At 36.3% G+C, this 17,173-nt stretch overlaps 1 protein-coding gene across 2 annotated transcripts in view; it reads right to left on the reverse strand.

Annotated features, from left to right (window-relative positions):
* Positions 1-219: 219 nt before the first annotated feature.
* The window catches only part of CPNE8 (copine 8), a 254,633-nt gene continuing 237,679 nt past the window's right edge, over positions 220-17,173 (reverse strand). For both annotated transcript variants that reach the window (XM_017018852.2, NM_153634.3), the window contains exon 20: positions 220-2,087. In XM_017018852.2, the coding sequence (XP_016874341.1) occupies positions 1,899-2,087 (189 nt within the window). In that variant the 3' untranslated portion in view covers positions 220-1,898. The remainder of the gene's footprint in view (positions 2,088-17,173) is intronic.

A 17,173-nucleotide genomic window follows, 5' to 3' on the forward strand; every position in this document is an offset into this window, starting at 1 on the left:
TACGTATTTTCTAATCTTACATGTAGCATTAACTTCACATAAGTTTCTGATTATCATTCTCAGCCATATAAATGATAACATTTGTAAAGAGAAATTGCTTCATTCCTGGCCATTTACTCCCACTAGGTTTGAGCAATCTATTATTTATACAAGGAATTGTACAACTTTTGTTTTCTCTGGACAGTTCAAAAAAATAACTGATGTTTGACAAGAAGAAAAGAATATTGATCTTATTTATTTGTTTTTTGGGTTGATAAATAAAGCTAAATTTAAAAATCTGTAGGTAATACACTGTAGTGGCATAAATATTTAAGATCAGTAAAGGAAATCATCAAACTATTGTCATTCATACATGAAACGTACAAAGCAAATAGTTATGATTTAAAGATTTTAATACATAATTAAAAATCAACAATTATTACATAGTTATATAACATTGATACTGTTAGATATGTGGATGTATATATTTTTCTTTCCAGTAAAATAGTTTCATGCTTATAAAAGTCACCCTAGGTCAACTTGGGACAAAGAAAACAATGTACAGTAGAAATAAACCAAGTATTAAATAGAATATATAGGTAAGGAAAAAATATTATAAAGCAGTTACATTTTTGACACACACACACACACAAATAAATACACTTTTCTATTATTTGAAGGCAATTCACAATCATTTCCAGGAATTCCGTGAGAATTTAAGGCCATTTGTTCTAAAGAAATGCTTTAATTTAGACACAACTTCACAAAACTGTAATTCTTGTAAAAACTGTACATGCAAAAACCCTTTACAATTATTCGTGGACAGGCAGGTCAGTATATAGGAGTAGGTTATTTCACAAATGTGTTGTGCACTAAGTCACATAGTTGTATATATTTAACTGGGAATTTCACAAAAGACTTCCAGCCTGTGCACCTTGTGTGGCAACGTGGAATGGTGATAACAAGAAATTCCGATCAAGAGAGCCAGTATCCCTTTGAATTAAAATATCTAGACAAGATATAATGGAATAAAAAGTTTAAAACATCTGCTACATAGTTCACAGTTAAATAGTCTTGGTTTCAGTCTTTCTAAATAGCATTATTATATAAGGATGCTACTTTTTACAAAGTATTTTCTGTGCATTTATAGATCACAATGTTTGACTTTTTATAATTTCTACTTAGTGTTACAAAATACAAACCAACTGCAGTCTAAATTTAGAACCCAAACTCCATGAAAAATGCATGTTCAACCAGGAGACACATCTGCCGGGCTTAAACTCCCATACCCAGCAAACATTGCTGAGAAATTGTTTATTAAGCAGATGTAGTTTCTTAAGACAATCCAGTTACTGAAAAATAGAAAAGCATTTTTCCCTTCCCTTATTTGCAATTGTGTTTGTCCAGACAGTCATTCAAAGAGATATTGCTCTTGTGATTATAGCTATTGCAATTTAGAAGACAAAGGATTCAGTATTTAAAACTCTTATTTTTAAGAACAGTTATAAAAGTATTGAAATTTAAAAAGTAGTAACATGTAAACATTGATACAGAGACTGCTTTCCTATACACATAGCAGTCGAAGACAATATTTGAGTTAAAAACACAGTTTGTGCTTTTTCCCAACAATACATTGGAAATTAGCTGTTTCTGTTAAAAAAAAAAAGAAAGAAAGATTTAGAGAAGACATCCATACTTTGCTTCAAGCATTTAAACAATTTTTTCTGTTGCTCATGCAACAACCATATTTACAGTTTTGGTTTAGGAAGATATTTAAATTTGGATCCAAGAAAGCACATTAACTGCTGAAACCAAACTGAGAAAACTATCTCATTGCCTGGTTCATTACAGAGCACCAGGCACAAAGCATTAACTCAGCACTTTTGATTTGTAGTTGACATTAGCATTTCAGAGCACAGTCATATTTGAGTCTGTAACACATGTGTAGGTGGGGTGTATGGGGGAGGCGCAGGTGATGGCTTGATTCCTCGGGCTCTCATATAGGAGAGAAACTGCTCAGGGATCTCAGCTAGGACATCTTTAGCCAATCTAGCCATGCTCAGTATGTGGTTTCCACTTCTGTCAATATAATCCCTGAATGGCACAAACTAAAACAGAGACGAAAGAAAGTTATTTCACAGACTTTAGCAGGCTATGTAATAAACACAAAAAATCAACACATGTACACATTTGGTCATAGGAAAATCAGGGAATCTGAGAGTAATGGAGAGATGGATAACAATTATTATACATTTTTAAAAATATTCAATAGGCCAGGCATGGTGGCTCATGCCTGTAATCCCAGCACTTTGGGAGGCTGAGGTGGGTGGATTACCTGAGGTCAGGAGTTCAAGACCAGCCTGACCAACATGGTGAAACTGTGTCACTACTGAAAATACAAAATTAGCTGGGTGCGGTGGCACACCCTTGTAATCCCAGCTACTCGGGAGGCTGAGGCAGGAGAATTGCTTGAGCCCAGGAGGCAGAGGTTGCAGTGAGCCGAGATCATGCCACTGCACTCCAGCCTGGCCGACAGAGCGAGACTCTGTCTCAAAAAAAAAAAAAAAAAAAAATTCAATACACTACAAATAGCTATAAGTGACTAAACTTACATAATATATGCTTTATCTCAAAAGGAATGCAATCATTTTCTATGTTTTTCCTCCAATAACTCATGTCACTTAATCCTAATAGGCTTATTATGTTGCCAAATGTCTTCTGCAGTTTTAGGTTCTATACCCAGCCTGAATCCCAACAGGATGGAGCATTTAACCTCTTTGGGGCTTGGTTTCCTGTCAAATGGAGTTAATATATGCCTAATTCAGCTTCTGATATAAAAATACTACCCAATTCTGGATAAGAAATGAGTATTACCCAATTCAGGGTAAAATATAATAGTGTACATTGTTAAAAAGTCCTAAACACATTAAAGTATTTTAATTCTTTCTAAGACAAAATCGCATGGACTATGAATATAGAATTCACACAGCTCATATTAATAGGAAGCTGAAATATTCAGTACATTGAGTTTTGCATCAGATGTTGATTTTTGAGTATCTACTATTTGGGAAGACAGGAAAAAAGATCTTGGCATAAGATTTGGGTATATTTCTTATGGAAATATCATCATTCTAACAACATATATTAGGTTGGAACAAAAAGTAATTGCAGTTTTTGCAGTAATTTGTGGTTTTTCAATGGCAAAAACCGCAATTACTTTTGCACCACCCTTAATAAAAATGATTACTATATCTTTATATATGTAATTATGTGAGAGCCCTTATCGGCTCAATACCAAATGCTCCTGTAATAGATTGCCTGATTCCATTCTCATTTATAATGGTTACTTAAGTTAATAAACACTGTGCTGTTTGAGGGCATTAGTTCAATTTTCCCTTAGGGGCATAATGATGCTTGATGCAACTTTGAAGTGATTGGAACTGTGAATGTTGTGATAATTTAAGAGCACAGTAATTTTTGGTCTTCAGAGAAAAGGCAAAGTGAAGACATTTTAATATGTTGAACAATTTGAGTACAATATATAAAAATTTGAATTAAATCATTTTTCTCCTGGATGAAGACAAAGAACAATCCTGTCTCATGCTGTAAAATACCATTTTACATTTATTTTGAAAAATAAAATAAGTTTGTTTTTTATTTAAAGTTATTCATTATGTGCCTCTGGAAAACAATCATTATTGGAAGGAAGCATTTAAAATGATCAGGTTGCTACAGGTAAACCAAGAAAAATTTTAAGAAATCAAAGATTAGGTATAGTGCCTTTTATGCAATGAAGGTAGTCTCTTTTAAAAGAAGAGAAGAAAACTATTCCTTTCTTTTTAAAATAAGACATTACAAGGAAGCACATGTATGTGACTAAAATTTTACCTTATTTGTCTTTACACCCTATTTCCAGGAGGGAAACTCAGAGCAGTTTTTAGAAATAGGTATTTAAAAGGTGACATATCTTTCTCCTACTAAGGGCAAGAAAGGCAGCTTGCTAAGGATGTGAAAAAAAAAAAACTAACAATAAATGCGATCTTCCTTCAGAAGAGAATGAGAATTAGAACTTTTGTGAAGTGTTTATTCCCTAGCTATGGACAAGACTTGACATTTTTAACAGAAAAAAATCAAAGAGGTAAAAAAAAAACAAAAAACAAAAAAAACAAATTGAGGTTAATTTTCTCTCTGAAACTATAATTAGAAAAGAGAAAATAGGAATCAACACAGGGAATAATGAGAAAATATATCTAATTGTAACTATAATTTACTTAATTCTTATTCTAGAAGGTATAATGCTTTAAATGTTAACATTTAGTAATGTTGGTATGGTCAGTATACATGCAGTGGTCTTTAGACTTTTTTTTTTTTTTGAAGAGTTTTTTTTTTCTTTGTTTTTGAAAATGTATGTAGCTAATACACACATTTCATGGAAATGTTGGCAAACAGTTGATGCTTCTCTATGGAAAGGGGAGATCTCCCCTGCTTCTTTTATCTTACCTTTACCTCAACTTTGGTCTCATATTCTTTACCTTGCTCCTACATTATGGACATTAAACTCATTTAAGTTTTTACCTCCCTATTCTCAGAAACTTTGGAATTAGACTTCCCAGTTTCAAAGCCTGGTTCTGCTGCCTGTTGCCTGCATGATCTTGAGCAGGTTATTTTCTACTCTTTGCCTCAGTTTCTTCTTCTATAAAATAAAAACCAGATGGCTTCATGGCAAATTCCACCAAACTTTTAAAGAACTAACACAAATTCTTCTCAAACTGTTTTTTAAAATTGAAGCGGGGAGCTCTCAGCAACGTGGAAAGGAACTGGCCAGCAACTTAGCTTAAAGGATCCTCCGTAAGAGCCACACAAGTCTGTGCACAGACCAGAGAATAGACACTGTGGGAGCCGTAAAGTATTTCCTTGGTGGTTGGGACCAAGCCTTTCAGGTCCGTTCCAAGATGGCCGAATAGGAACAGCTCTGGTCTGCAGCTCCCAGCGTGACAGACACAGAAGATGGGTGATTTCTGCATTTTCAACTGAGGTACCTGGATCATCTCACTGGGACTGGTTGGACAGTGGGTGCAGCCCACAGAGGGTGAGCTGAAGCAGTGCGGGGTGTCACTTCACCTGGGAAGTGCAAGGGGTTGGGGGATTTCCCTTTCCTAGCCAAGGGAAGCCATGACAGACTGTACCTGGAAAAAGGGGACACTCCTGCCCAAATACTGTGCTTTTCCCATGGTCTTAGCAACTGGCAGACCAGGAGATTCTCTCCTGTGCCTGGTTTGGTGGGTCCCATTCCCACAGAGCCTTGCTCATAGCCAGTGCAGCAGTCTGAGATCGACCTGCGAGGCTGCAGCCTGGTGGGGGGAGGGGTGTCCACCATTGCTGAGGCTTGAGTAGGTAAACAAAGTGGCAAGGAAGCTCGAACTGGGTGGAGCCCACTGCAGCTCAACAAGGCCTACTGCCTCTATAAACGCCACCTCTGTGGGTAGGGCACAGCTGAAAAAAGGCAGCAGAAACTTCTGCAGACTTAAACATCCCTGTCTGACAGCCCTGGAGAGAGCAGTGGTTCTCCCAGCACGGCGTTTGAGCTCTGAGAACGAACAGACTGCCTCCTCAAGTGGGTCCCTGACCCCCGTATAGCGTAACTGGGAGACACCTCCCAGTAGGGGCCGATAGACACCTCATACAGCTGGGTGCCCCTCTGGGACGAAGCTTCCAGAGGAAGGATCAGACAGCAATATTTTCAGTTCTGCAATATTTGCTGTTCTGCAGCCTCCACTGGTGATACCCAGGAAAACAGGGTCTGGAGTGGACCCCCAGCAAACTCTAAAAGACCTGCAGCTGAGGGACCTGTTAGAAGGATAACTAACAAACAGAAAGCAGTAGCATCAACATCAATAAAAAGGACATCCACACCAAAACCACATCTATAGGTCACCAACATCAAAGACCAAAGGAAGATAAAACCACAAAGATGGGGAGAAACCAAAGCAGAAAAGCTGAAAATTCTAAAAACCAGAGCGCCACTTCTCCACCAAAAGATCACAGCTCCTTGCCAGTAATGGAACAAAGATGGATGGAGAATGAGTTTGACGAGTTGACAGAAGTAGGCTTCAGAAGGTCGGTAATAATAAACTTCTCCGAGTTAAAAAAGCATGTTCTAACCCATCACAAGGAAGCTAAAAACCTTGAAAAAAGGTTAGACGAATGACTAACTAGAATAAACAGCGTAGAGAAGACCTTAAATGACCTGATGGAGCTGAAAACCATGGCATGAGAACTACGTGATGCATGCACAAGCTTCAATAGCTGATTCAATCAAGTAGAAGAAAGGATATCAGTGATTGAAGATCAAATTAATGAAATAAAGCAAGAAGACAAGATTAGAAAAAAAAGAGTAAAAAGAAATGAGCAAAGCCTCCAAGAAATATGAGACTATGTGAAAAGACCAAATCTACGTTTGATTGGTGTACCTGAAAGTGACAGGAAAAATGGAACCAAGTTGGAAAACACTCTGCAGGATATTATCCAGGAGAACTTCCCCAACCTAGCAAGGCAAGCCAACATTCAAATTCAGGAAATACAGAGAACACCAAAAGGTACTCCTCAAGAAGAGCAACCCCAAGACATATAATTGTCAGATTCACCTAGGTTGAAATGAAGGAAAAAATATTAAGGGCAGCCAGAGAGAAAGGTCGGGTTACCCACAAAGGGAAACCCATCAGAGTAACAGTGGATCTCTCAGCAGAAACCCTACAAGCCAGAAGAGAGTGGGGACCAATATTCAACATTCTTAAAGAAAAGAATTTTCAATCCAGAATTTCATATCCAGCCAAACTAAGCTTCATAAGTGAAGGAGAAATAAAAACCTTTACAGGCAAGCACATGCTGAGAGATTTTGTCACCACCAGGCCTGCCTTACAAGAGCTCCTGAAGGAAACACTAAATATGGAAAGGAATAACTTGTACCAGCCACTGCAAAAACATGCCAAAGTGTAAAGACCATCAATGCTATGAAGAAACTGCATCAATTAATGGGCAAAATAACCAGCTAACATAATAATGACAGGATCAAATTCACACATAACAATATTAACTTTAAATGTAAATGGGCTAAATGCCCCAATTAAAAGACACAGACTGGCAAACTGGATAGTCAAGACCCATCAGTGTCCTGTACTCAGGAGACCAATCTCACATGCAGAGACACACATAGGCTCAAAATGAAGGGATGGAGGAAGATCTACCAAGCAAATGGAAAGAAAAAAAAAAAAAGCGGGGATTGCAATGCTAGTCTCTGATAAAACAGACTTTAAACCAACAAAGATCGAAAAAGACAAAGAAGGCCATTACATAATGGTAAAGGGATCAATTCAACAAGAAGAGCTAACTATCCTAAATATATATGCACCCAATACAAGAGCACCCAGATTCATAAAGCAAGTCCTTAGAGACCTACGAAGAGACTTAGACTCCCACACAATAATAATGGGAGACTTTAACACCCCACTGTCAATATTAGACAGATCGACAAGACAGGTTAACAAGGATATACAGGAACTGAACTCAGCTCTGCACCAAGCAGAACTAATAGACATCTACAGAACTCTCTACTCTAAATCAACAGAATACACATTCTTCTCAGCACCACATCGCACGTATTCCAAAATTGACCACAGAGTTGGAAGTAAAGCGCTCCTCAGCAAATGTAAAAGAACAAAAATCACAACAAACTCTCTCTCAGACCACAGTGCAATCAAATTAGAACTCAGGATTAAGAAACTCACTCAAAACCGCACAACTATACGGAAACTGAACAATCTGCTCAATGTGCAAAAATCACAAGCATTCCTATACACCAATAACAGACAGAGGGCCAAATCATGAGTGAACTCCCATTCACAACTGCTACAAAGAGAATAAAATATTTAGGAATCCAACTTACAAGGGATGTGAAGGACCTCTTCAAGGAGAACTACAAACCACTGCTCAATGAAATAAAAGAGGACACAAATAAATGGAAGAACATTCCATGCTCATGGTTAGGAAGAATCAATATCATGAAAATGGCCATACTGCCCAAGGCAATTTATAGATTCAATGCCATCCCCATCAAGCTACCGATGACTTTCTTCACAGAAATGGAAAAAACTACTTTAAAGTTCCTATGGAACCAAAAAAGAGACCACATTGCCAAGACAATCCTAAGCAAAAAGAACAAAACTGGAGGCATCCCGCTACCTGACTTCAAACTATACTACAAGGCTACAGTAACCAAAACAGCATGGTACTGGTACCAAAACACAGATATGGACCAATGGAACAGAACAGAGGCCTCAGAAATAACACCATACATCTACAACCATCTGATCTTTGACAAACCTGACAAAAACAAGCAATGGGGAAAGGATTCCCTATTTAATAAATGGTGCTGGGAAAACTGGCTAGCCATATGTAGAAAGCTGAAACAGGATCCTTTTCTTACACCTTATACAAAAATTAATTCAAGATGGATTAAAGACTTAAATCTTAGACTTAAAACCATAAAATCCCTAGAAGAAAACCTAGGCAATACCATTCAGGACATAGGCATAGAATAAAGACTTCATGACTAAAACACCAAAAGCAATGGTAACACAAGCCAAAATTGACAAATGGGATCTAATTAAACTAAAGAGCTTCTGCACAGCAAAAGACTACCATCAGAGTGAACAGGCAGCCTACAGAATGGGAGAAAATTTTTGCAATCTACCCATCTGACAAAGGGCTAATATCCAGAATCTACAAAGCACTTAAACAAATTTATAAGAAAAAAACAACCCCATCTAAAAGTGGGCAAAGGATATGAACAGATACTTCTCAAAAGACATTTATGCAGCCAACAGACATATGAAAAAATGCTAATCATCACTGGTCATCAGAGAAATGCAAATCAAAACCACAATGAGATACCATCTCACACCAGTTAGAATGGCAATCATTAAAAAGCCAGGAAACAACAGATGCTGGAGAGGATGTAGAGAAATAAGAATGTTTTTACACTGTTGGTGGGAGTGTAAATTAGTTCAACTATTGTGGAAGACAGTGTGGCGATTCCTCAAGGACCTAGAACTAGAAATACCATTTGACCCAGCCATCCCATTACTGGGTATATACCCAAAGGATTATAAATCATGCTACTATAAAGACACATGCACATGTATGTTTATTGTGGCACTATTCACAATAGCAAAGACTTGGAACCAACCCAAATGTCCATCAATGATAGAATGGATTAAAAAAATGTGGCACACATATACCATGGAATACTATGCAACCATAAAAAAGGATGAGTTCATGTCCTTTGCAGGGACATGGATGAAGCTGGAAACCATCATTCTGAGCAAACTATCACAAGGACAGAAAACCAAACACTGCATATTCTCACTCATAGGTGGGAACTGAACAATGAGAACACTTGGACACAGGGTGGGGAACATCACACACTGGGGCCTGTTGGGGGTGGGGGACGTGGGGAGAGAGAGCATTAGGAGAAATACCTAATGTAAATGATGAGTTGATGGGTGCAGCAAACCAACATGGCACATATATACCTATGTAACAAACCTGCACGTTGTACCCTAGAACTTGAAGTATAATAAAAATAAGTAAATAAATAAAATTGAAGGGGAATGAATTCTTCCAAATGTATTCCACAAGGCCAGAACTACCCTGATACCAAAACCAGACAAGGACACAACAACAACAAAAATCTACAGGTTAATATTCCTGATGAACATAGATGCAAACATCTTCAACGAAATACTAGCAAACCAAATACAACAGCACATCAAAAAGATTATACACCATGATCAAGTAGGATTTATCTCAGGAATGCAAGGATGGTTCAATGTGTGCAAATCAATAAATGTGATACATCATATGAACAGAATGCAAGCAAAAAAAAAAAACACATGATCTCGATAGATGCAGAAAAAGCATTTGATAAAATACAACATCCCTTCAGGATAAAAATTGTCTGTAAATTAGGTATAGAAGGAAAATACCTCAACACAATAAAGGCCAATATGACAAACCCACAGCTAATATCATAGTGAATGGAAAATGTTGAAAACTTTTCCTCAAAGAACTTGAACAAGAGAAAGATGCCCATTTTCGCCACCCTTATTCAACATGGCACTGGAAGTCCTAGCCAGAGAAATTAGGCAACAGAAAGAAATGAACAGCATCCAAATTGGAAAGCAAGAGATTAAGTTATTTCTGTTTGCAGCTGACATGATCTTATATATGGAAAACCCTGAGAATACCACAATACAACTGTCGGAACTAATAAGTGAATTCAGAAAAGTCATAAGATACAAAATCAACATACAACCATCAGTGGCATTTCTTTATACCAATGGCAAACTAGCTGAAAAAGAAATCAAGAAAGCAATCTCATTTATAATAGCCAAAAAAACTAGAAATACGTTTAATCAAAGAGGTGAAAGATCTCTACAATAAAAACTATAAACCACTGATTAAAGAAATTTAAGAAGACACAAAAATAAAAATCTCATGTTCATGGATTGGAATAATTAATATTGTTAAAATGACCATACTACCCAAAGCAATCTACAGATTTAAAGTAATACTTGTCAAAATACCAAGACATTCTTTACAGAAATAGAAAAACACAATCCTAAAATTTGTTTGGAGCCACATAAGACTCCAAATAGCCAAAGCAATTCTGAGCCACAAGAAGAAAGCTGAAGGTATCACATTACCTGACTTCAAAATATATTACATAGCCATAGAAACCAAAACAGAAAGGCACTGGCATAAAAACAGACACATAGACCAATGGAACAGAATAGAGAACCCAGAAATAAATTCACATATTTACAGCCAACTGATTTTTGACAAATGCATCAAGAACATACACTGGGGAAAGAACACCCTTTTCATTAAATGGTGCTGGGATAACTGGATATCCATATGCAGAAGAATGAAACTACACCCTTATCTATCACCATAAAAAAAATCAACTCAAGATGGGTTAAAGACTTAAATGTAAGATCCTAAACTATGAAACTACTAGAAAGAAACCACAGGGGAAATGCATCAGGACATGAGTAGGCAAAAATTGTATGAATAAGGCCTCCAAACTTATGCAACAAAAGTAAAACTAGACAAATGGTATTATATTAAGCTAAAATCTTCTCAACAGCAAAGGAAGTAATCAAGAGAGTGAAGAGACAAACTTTTATTCATCTAATAAGGGATTAATATCCAGAATATGCAATGAATTCAAACAATAGCAAAACAAAAAACAAAAACAAAAAACAAAAAACAAAAACAAACCAAAAACACCCCACAAAGAATCTGATTTTAAAATGGACAAGTGACCTAAATAGATATTTCTCAAAAGAAGGCACACAAATGGCCAAAAATAAATGAGAAAATGCTGAAAAATCACTATTTATCAGAGAAATGCAAATCAAAACCACAATGAGATATCATCTCATCCCAGTTAGAATGGCTATTACCAAAAAGACAAAAATGTCAAATATTGATAAGGATGTAGAGAAAAGGGAACTCATACATTGTTGGTGGGAATGTAAATTATTACAACCATTATGGAAAAGAGAACTACCATATGCTTCAGCAATCCCACTACTGGGTATTTATCCAAATGAAAGGAAATCAGTATGTCAAATAAATAGCTGCATTGCCATGTTTATTGCAGCATTATTCACAATAGCCAGGATATGACATTGACCTAAGTCCATTCATTAACAGAGGAATGGATAAGGAAAGTGTAGCATATGCACACAATGAAATACTATTTCGCCATAAAAAATGAAATTCTGTCACTTGCGGCAGCATGGATGAGCCCGGAGGACACTATGTTAACTGAAATAAGCCAGGCACAGAAAAATAAATACCACATGTTCTCCCTCATATGTGTAAGCTAAAAAAGTTGATCTCATAGAAATAGAGAGTAGAATAGTGGTTACTATAGGCTGGGAAGGATAGGTGGGGAAAGAGGGGTAAGGAGACTGTGGTTAATGGATACAAAATTACGGCTAGATAGGAGGAATAAATTCTGTTGTTCTCTAGCACTGTAGGGTTACCGTAGTTAATGATTATTTATTGAATATTTTTGAATAGCTAGAAGACAGAATTTTGAATGTGCCCAACACAAAAAAATAAATGTCTGAGATATGGGTATGCTATCCCTGATAGAAAAATTATACATTGCATACATGTAATGAAATATCACACTGTACCCTATAAATATGTATAATGTCAATAATAAAATAAAAAGGATAATTACAGAATACCTATTTCATTGTTTTGTATTAAATAAGTTAAAACTTAAAGTGCTTAAACAGTAACAGTTCAATTTGTAATATGTATTATATATGAAAGCCATCATTATCATAATTACTATTTCTATTCATTAACTTACACATTTATATAGTCAATATAAAGCAATTTGTTAATAGTTTTCAATTTATATTCATATCAAACATTAAATATAAGGAAGATTATTATTAATTTTATCTCTTTCAAATTTGAGTACAGTATCAGTTATACAGTAATTCCTGGACTTTTCAAATTTTAAAACACTGTTGTTTCACCTTTTCAGCAAGTCCTACAGGATATGCAGATGTTTTTTAATTGAGGTAAACTGAATTTCACTTTTAATAATTTTATGACACTGTGGAACATAAAAACTAAGGCTCATAATCATCACTGTTCTTACAATACACACAGTTCTACTCTTCTTTAAAACATGTTTATAAATAATAGGTAAAAAAGAAATCCTCAATTTCAACCTAGGATGGGAGTATACATCACATTTAGCTTAGGTTTGTTAGGTGAGCACAGAGTCTGATATTCCATTTGGACATTAGGGGGCACTGCCCACAGGTTGAGAACCACTGTCATAGGAAGTCACTGTTATCAAACAGGAGTATCCTTCATCCCACACTTATATTTGGAGTAGGATTAAAAAAAAGTCACTAGCCTAAACTAAACCTTTTCCAAAGGAACATTTATTTCTTCAGTCATGTCACAAGGTGTTACTTTATAAATGAGAAAAAAGACAAGTGACTTCAGAAATTTCCTTTACCTCTTATTTCAAATCTTAAAATTTTCATGACAAAATTGCCCTCTTTCTTAGAAGATTGCTCATATCCTTTTATATTTACAGGTTTCCACTCAACTTCTTAGGCCACTCTGTTTATTACCTCTATTAGTCTCTCATTTCTGATCCCTGTACCTGAGAAACTTTTGTCCAAAATAATTCCCACACATTTGTGAATGCATGTTGACCACATGGTAATTTAGACCCTTATAATATTTAGTTTAGAAGAATAAATCAATTTTTACTTTGCATTAATTTATCACATTCATGTAAAGAATACCAATAAATGCATTTTATTCTATAGGAAGTATGGTATACTTGTTACTCTACATCTTTTTTCAGCACCCACAAGTGTAGGGAAAATGTTCCACATGACTGCTCTAGCTGCTTGCTTTACCTATTCGTAAAAATAAGTTTGAATTCATTTGGGCAAATGGGCTTTTAGTTGCTGCTCTGCTCAGTTTTGCTTTATTGTTCCTACTGTGCAGAGCTCCATTAGTGATTTTCAAGTCTAAGCCCTCAAGGTTATTATTCTCCTTTTAATGGAAAATATGATTTAAATATAATTTTTCAGGAAATGATAAGCTGGCCAGCAGCTACATGCAGCCAGGCGGAATGGCACTGCCTTATACACAATGGCCAATCCACAGCATAAACAAACAAATAGAAAGCCTTTACGTATATTGACTTATGACAAGGTAGTAAGCTTTATTTGTGATTAAGTCTCATTGCCTCAATATTTAATTTCATATCACTATAGTATAAACAGTAAGCAGGATGGTTATTATTCTAAAACTTAAGTAACTTATTTTCTTATGTTAGGGCACAGCTACTATGAAATAATGACAAAAAAAATGCCTTCCTACTGGACTGTACCAATGTACTGTACTGATAATAACGCATTTATTGAGCAACTGGTAGTTGGGAGGTCTTCTGCTAGGCGATTTAGCACAATATGTCATTTAATATTCACAAATATCTTATATACTTTTAATGCACGTAAGAGGAAACTGAAACTTAGAAAGTTTAATTAACTTATCCAGGATCAGCTCTGAGTATGTCAGAATCACTACTTGAACTCAAATGGATCTGACTTGAATTGATTAGCCACTTCAGTAATACAAAAAGGGTAATAGATCTTAATAATTTTCTTTATAATTTTGTCTTTTAGGACAGTGTGTTATAATAGGAGTAACACAGGTTTTAGAACCAGAACACTCTTGGAAATCTGGATCTACCAACTTATGACCTAAATAACTTTCCAAAAGTTGTTTAACTTTTGATCTGGGGCTGGCTTCAGTTTTCTTATCTGTAAATAACTATGAGACAAACAATGACCGGTATTTTTAGGAAGATATAAAGTAATATGGGGACAAAGTGAAAATTCATCCAGGTGCGGCGAGTGAGGTCTTTGGAGAGGGCTGTGTGACAGGCTATACGTGGAGAAATTTGAAAGTATAGGATTTCGATCAGCACAGATGAGGAGGAAGAGTATTCCAGGTAAATGACAAGTGAAAGTAAAAGCAAGAACCATGGAAATGTATGATGGGAAGTTAGTTTATTAAGATAAAGTACAGTGTGTTTGTCTGTTTCTGTGTGTATTTAGCTAAAGAAGAGCTTGAAGTCAGGTCACGGAGAATCTTAAATGCCATGTTTAGGTGTTAGAATCAAAATTATACAGAATACATGTTAAGAATCTTAGAATCAGACATTTTAGGATTAAATCCTGGTTCACTTCTAATTAGCTGGGTGACTGTGGACAAGAGGAATTGAGCTAGCTTCATGTCCTTTTTTGTAAAATGCAATAATCAAAGTACCTGTCACATAAAGTTAATTAAGGACTGAGTGATTTAATTCTATAGCTCTTAGCCTGCCTAGCACATGAAACACTTAATAAAGGGTTAAATATCGTTATACAAAAAGGAAGGTATTTAATATTTACTATACTAATAAAACCCTATCTACTACCCCCAATATTCTGCTGAACCTCAGCTACATACTATTATTTGCCACCTTAGGGTTTTCTTTGTCCACTTGAGAAATGTGGAATTTCAATTGTGTTGTGTGTATAAACTGGATTCGCTTCAAGCAGTGAGAAATGGAAAGCAGAGAAAAGGTAAGACAGCCTAAATAGACCCTATTATCTGATAATATTTTAGAGAATTGGTTTACAATATTTTCTGACCAGGGGAAGATTGAAAATATTATCCTGCATGTACACTTGCAACCCCACTATTCTAAATATTCAAGAGTGTTTCTCTCCTTTAAAATAATTCGCTTTAAAAACTGTTTAGTGACTGGTAGAACCTGGAAAACTCTGATGGTAGAAGGTTTAGCTTTATTCAAGGTGAGAGAGGAGGTGCCAATTCTTTTACACAATGTGAATGTAAATGATCAATGTGATATGTAAAGTACTGACCACCATGTAGAAACTTCTCTATGAAAGTAGAAATGAGTACATCAAATCTCTAACTCAATGCAGGAATGTAAGTCAAGATGCCACTGTCATTCAGGGTGCTACTAATTTCCTAGGGACATTTTAATTTCTTGTTCAGTAAATGTTAAGACCTCACTACTCTTCAGTTCAACTTTACATGGCAGAATCCCTTGAGTGTTCACCTGTATCCCCAGGTGTGTTCAAAATCTTTGGAATCCCAATGTTACTTTATGGTGATAGGCTGCTCTCAAGGATTCTGACTTTTTTTTTTTCTTTCATTTTTGAGACGGAGTTTCGCTCTTGTTGTCCAGGCTGGAGTGCAATGGTATGATCTCGGCTCACCGCAATCTCCACCTCCTGGGCTCAAGCAATTCTCTTGCCTCCGCCTCCTGAGTAGCTGAGATTACAGGCGCCCGCCACCACACGCTGGTAATTTTTTGTATTTTTAGTAGAGACGGGGTTTCACCATGTTGGCCAGGCGGGTCTTGAACTCTTGACCTCAGGTGATCCTCCCGCCCTGGCCTCCCAAAGTGCTGGGATTACAGGCATGAGCCACTGTGCCCGGTTGGATTCTGACTTTCAAGAAGCAAAAACTTATATAATTATACTAGTATATACCTATGCTATTGGTAAGTAACAAAGTATTTTATGTCTGTTACTTCCTCTGAGACTCACAACATCATGGGAGGGGCAAAGATGAAAGAATTTGGAGTCTACAGATAATGAAACAAAGATAGAGAAATTTTTTTACTTGTTCAAGACCAGAGTGACTAAATAATTATAGTTGCATAGATCATTGGTGTCCTATCTCAATATTCTGTTCAATGTAGTATATCTATTGATTGATTAGTTTCGTGATCAAGGACAATTTTTATTAATGCAAATATGTTGTCACAAACATAACCTATTGGTCTTCTGAAAGGAAACCTTAATGATGTGAGTAATCTTAGCTATTTCCTAATGAAGAAAGTAATACCAAGCTTCTCTTAAGCATCATTTAAATAGAACTATGAGATATGAGGTTGCCTCTGCTAACTTGGTAAAAATGCATTAGAACAGCAACATAACATTCTAAAGACTTCAAATTCATACTTCCATGCAGTAATTCAATTTTTTGGAAACTGAACAAATATTCTAGAGAGCTTTTAAATAAAGTGTAATTACTTAGACCTATAATTATGCTGATGAGGTTAAGGTGAATAATCATGTGTCTAATTATGAAAAAAACACATAATGGTCCGGGCACGGTGGCTCATGCCTATAATCCCAGCACATTGGGAGGCCGAGGCGGGCGGATCACAAGGTCAGGAGGTCGAGACCATTCTGGCTAACACAGTGAAACCCCATCTCTACTAAAAAAATACAAAAAAAAATTAGCTGGGCATGGTGGCAGGCACCTGTAGTCCCAGCTACTCGAGAGGCTGAGGCAGGAGAATGACGTTAACCCAGGAGACGGAGCTTGCAGTGAGCCGAGATCACACCACTGCACTCCAGCCTGGGCAACAGCGAGACTCTGCCTCAAAAAAAAAAATAAAATAAATAACACACACACGCATAATGAGCTTCTTAAGCAAATGACCATATCACCAGGTTCTTTTTCCCAGCTGCTGTTAACCTAATCATTT

This window comes from Homo sapiens, chromosome 12 (assembly GCF_000001405.40).
Source record: "Homo sapiens chromosome 12, GRCh38.p14 Primary Assembly".
NCBI classification, from domain to species: domain Eukaryota; kingdom Metazoa; phylum Chordata; class Mammalia; order Primates; family Hominidae; genus Homo; species Homo sapiens.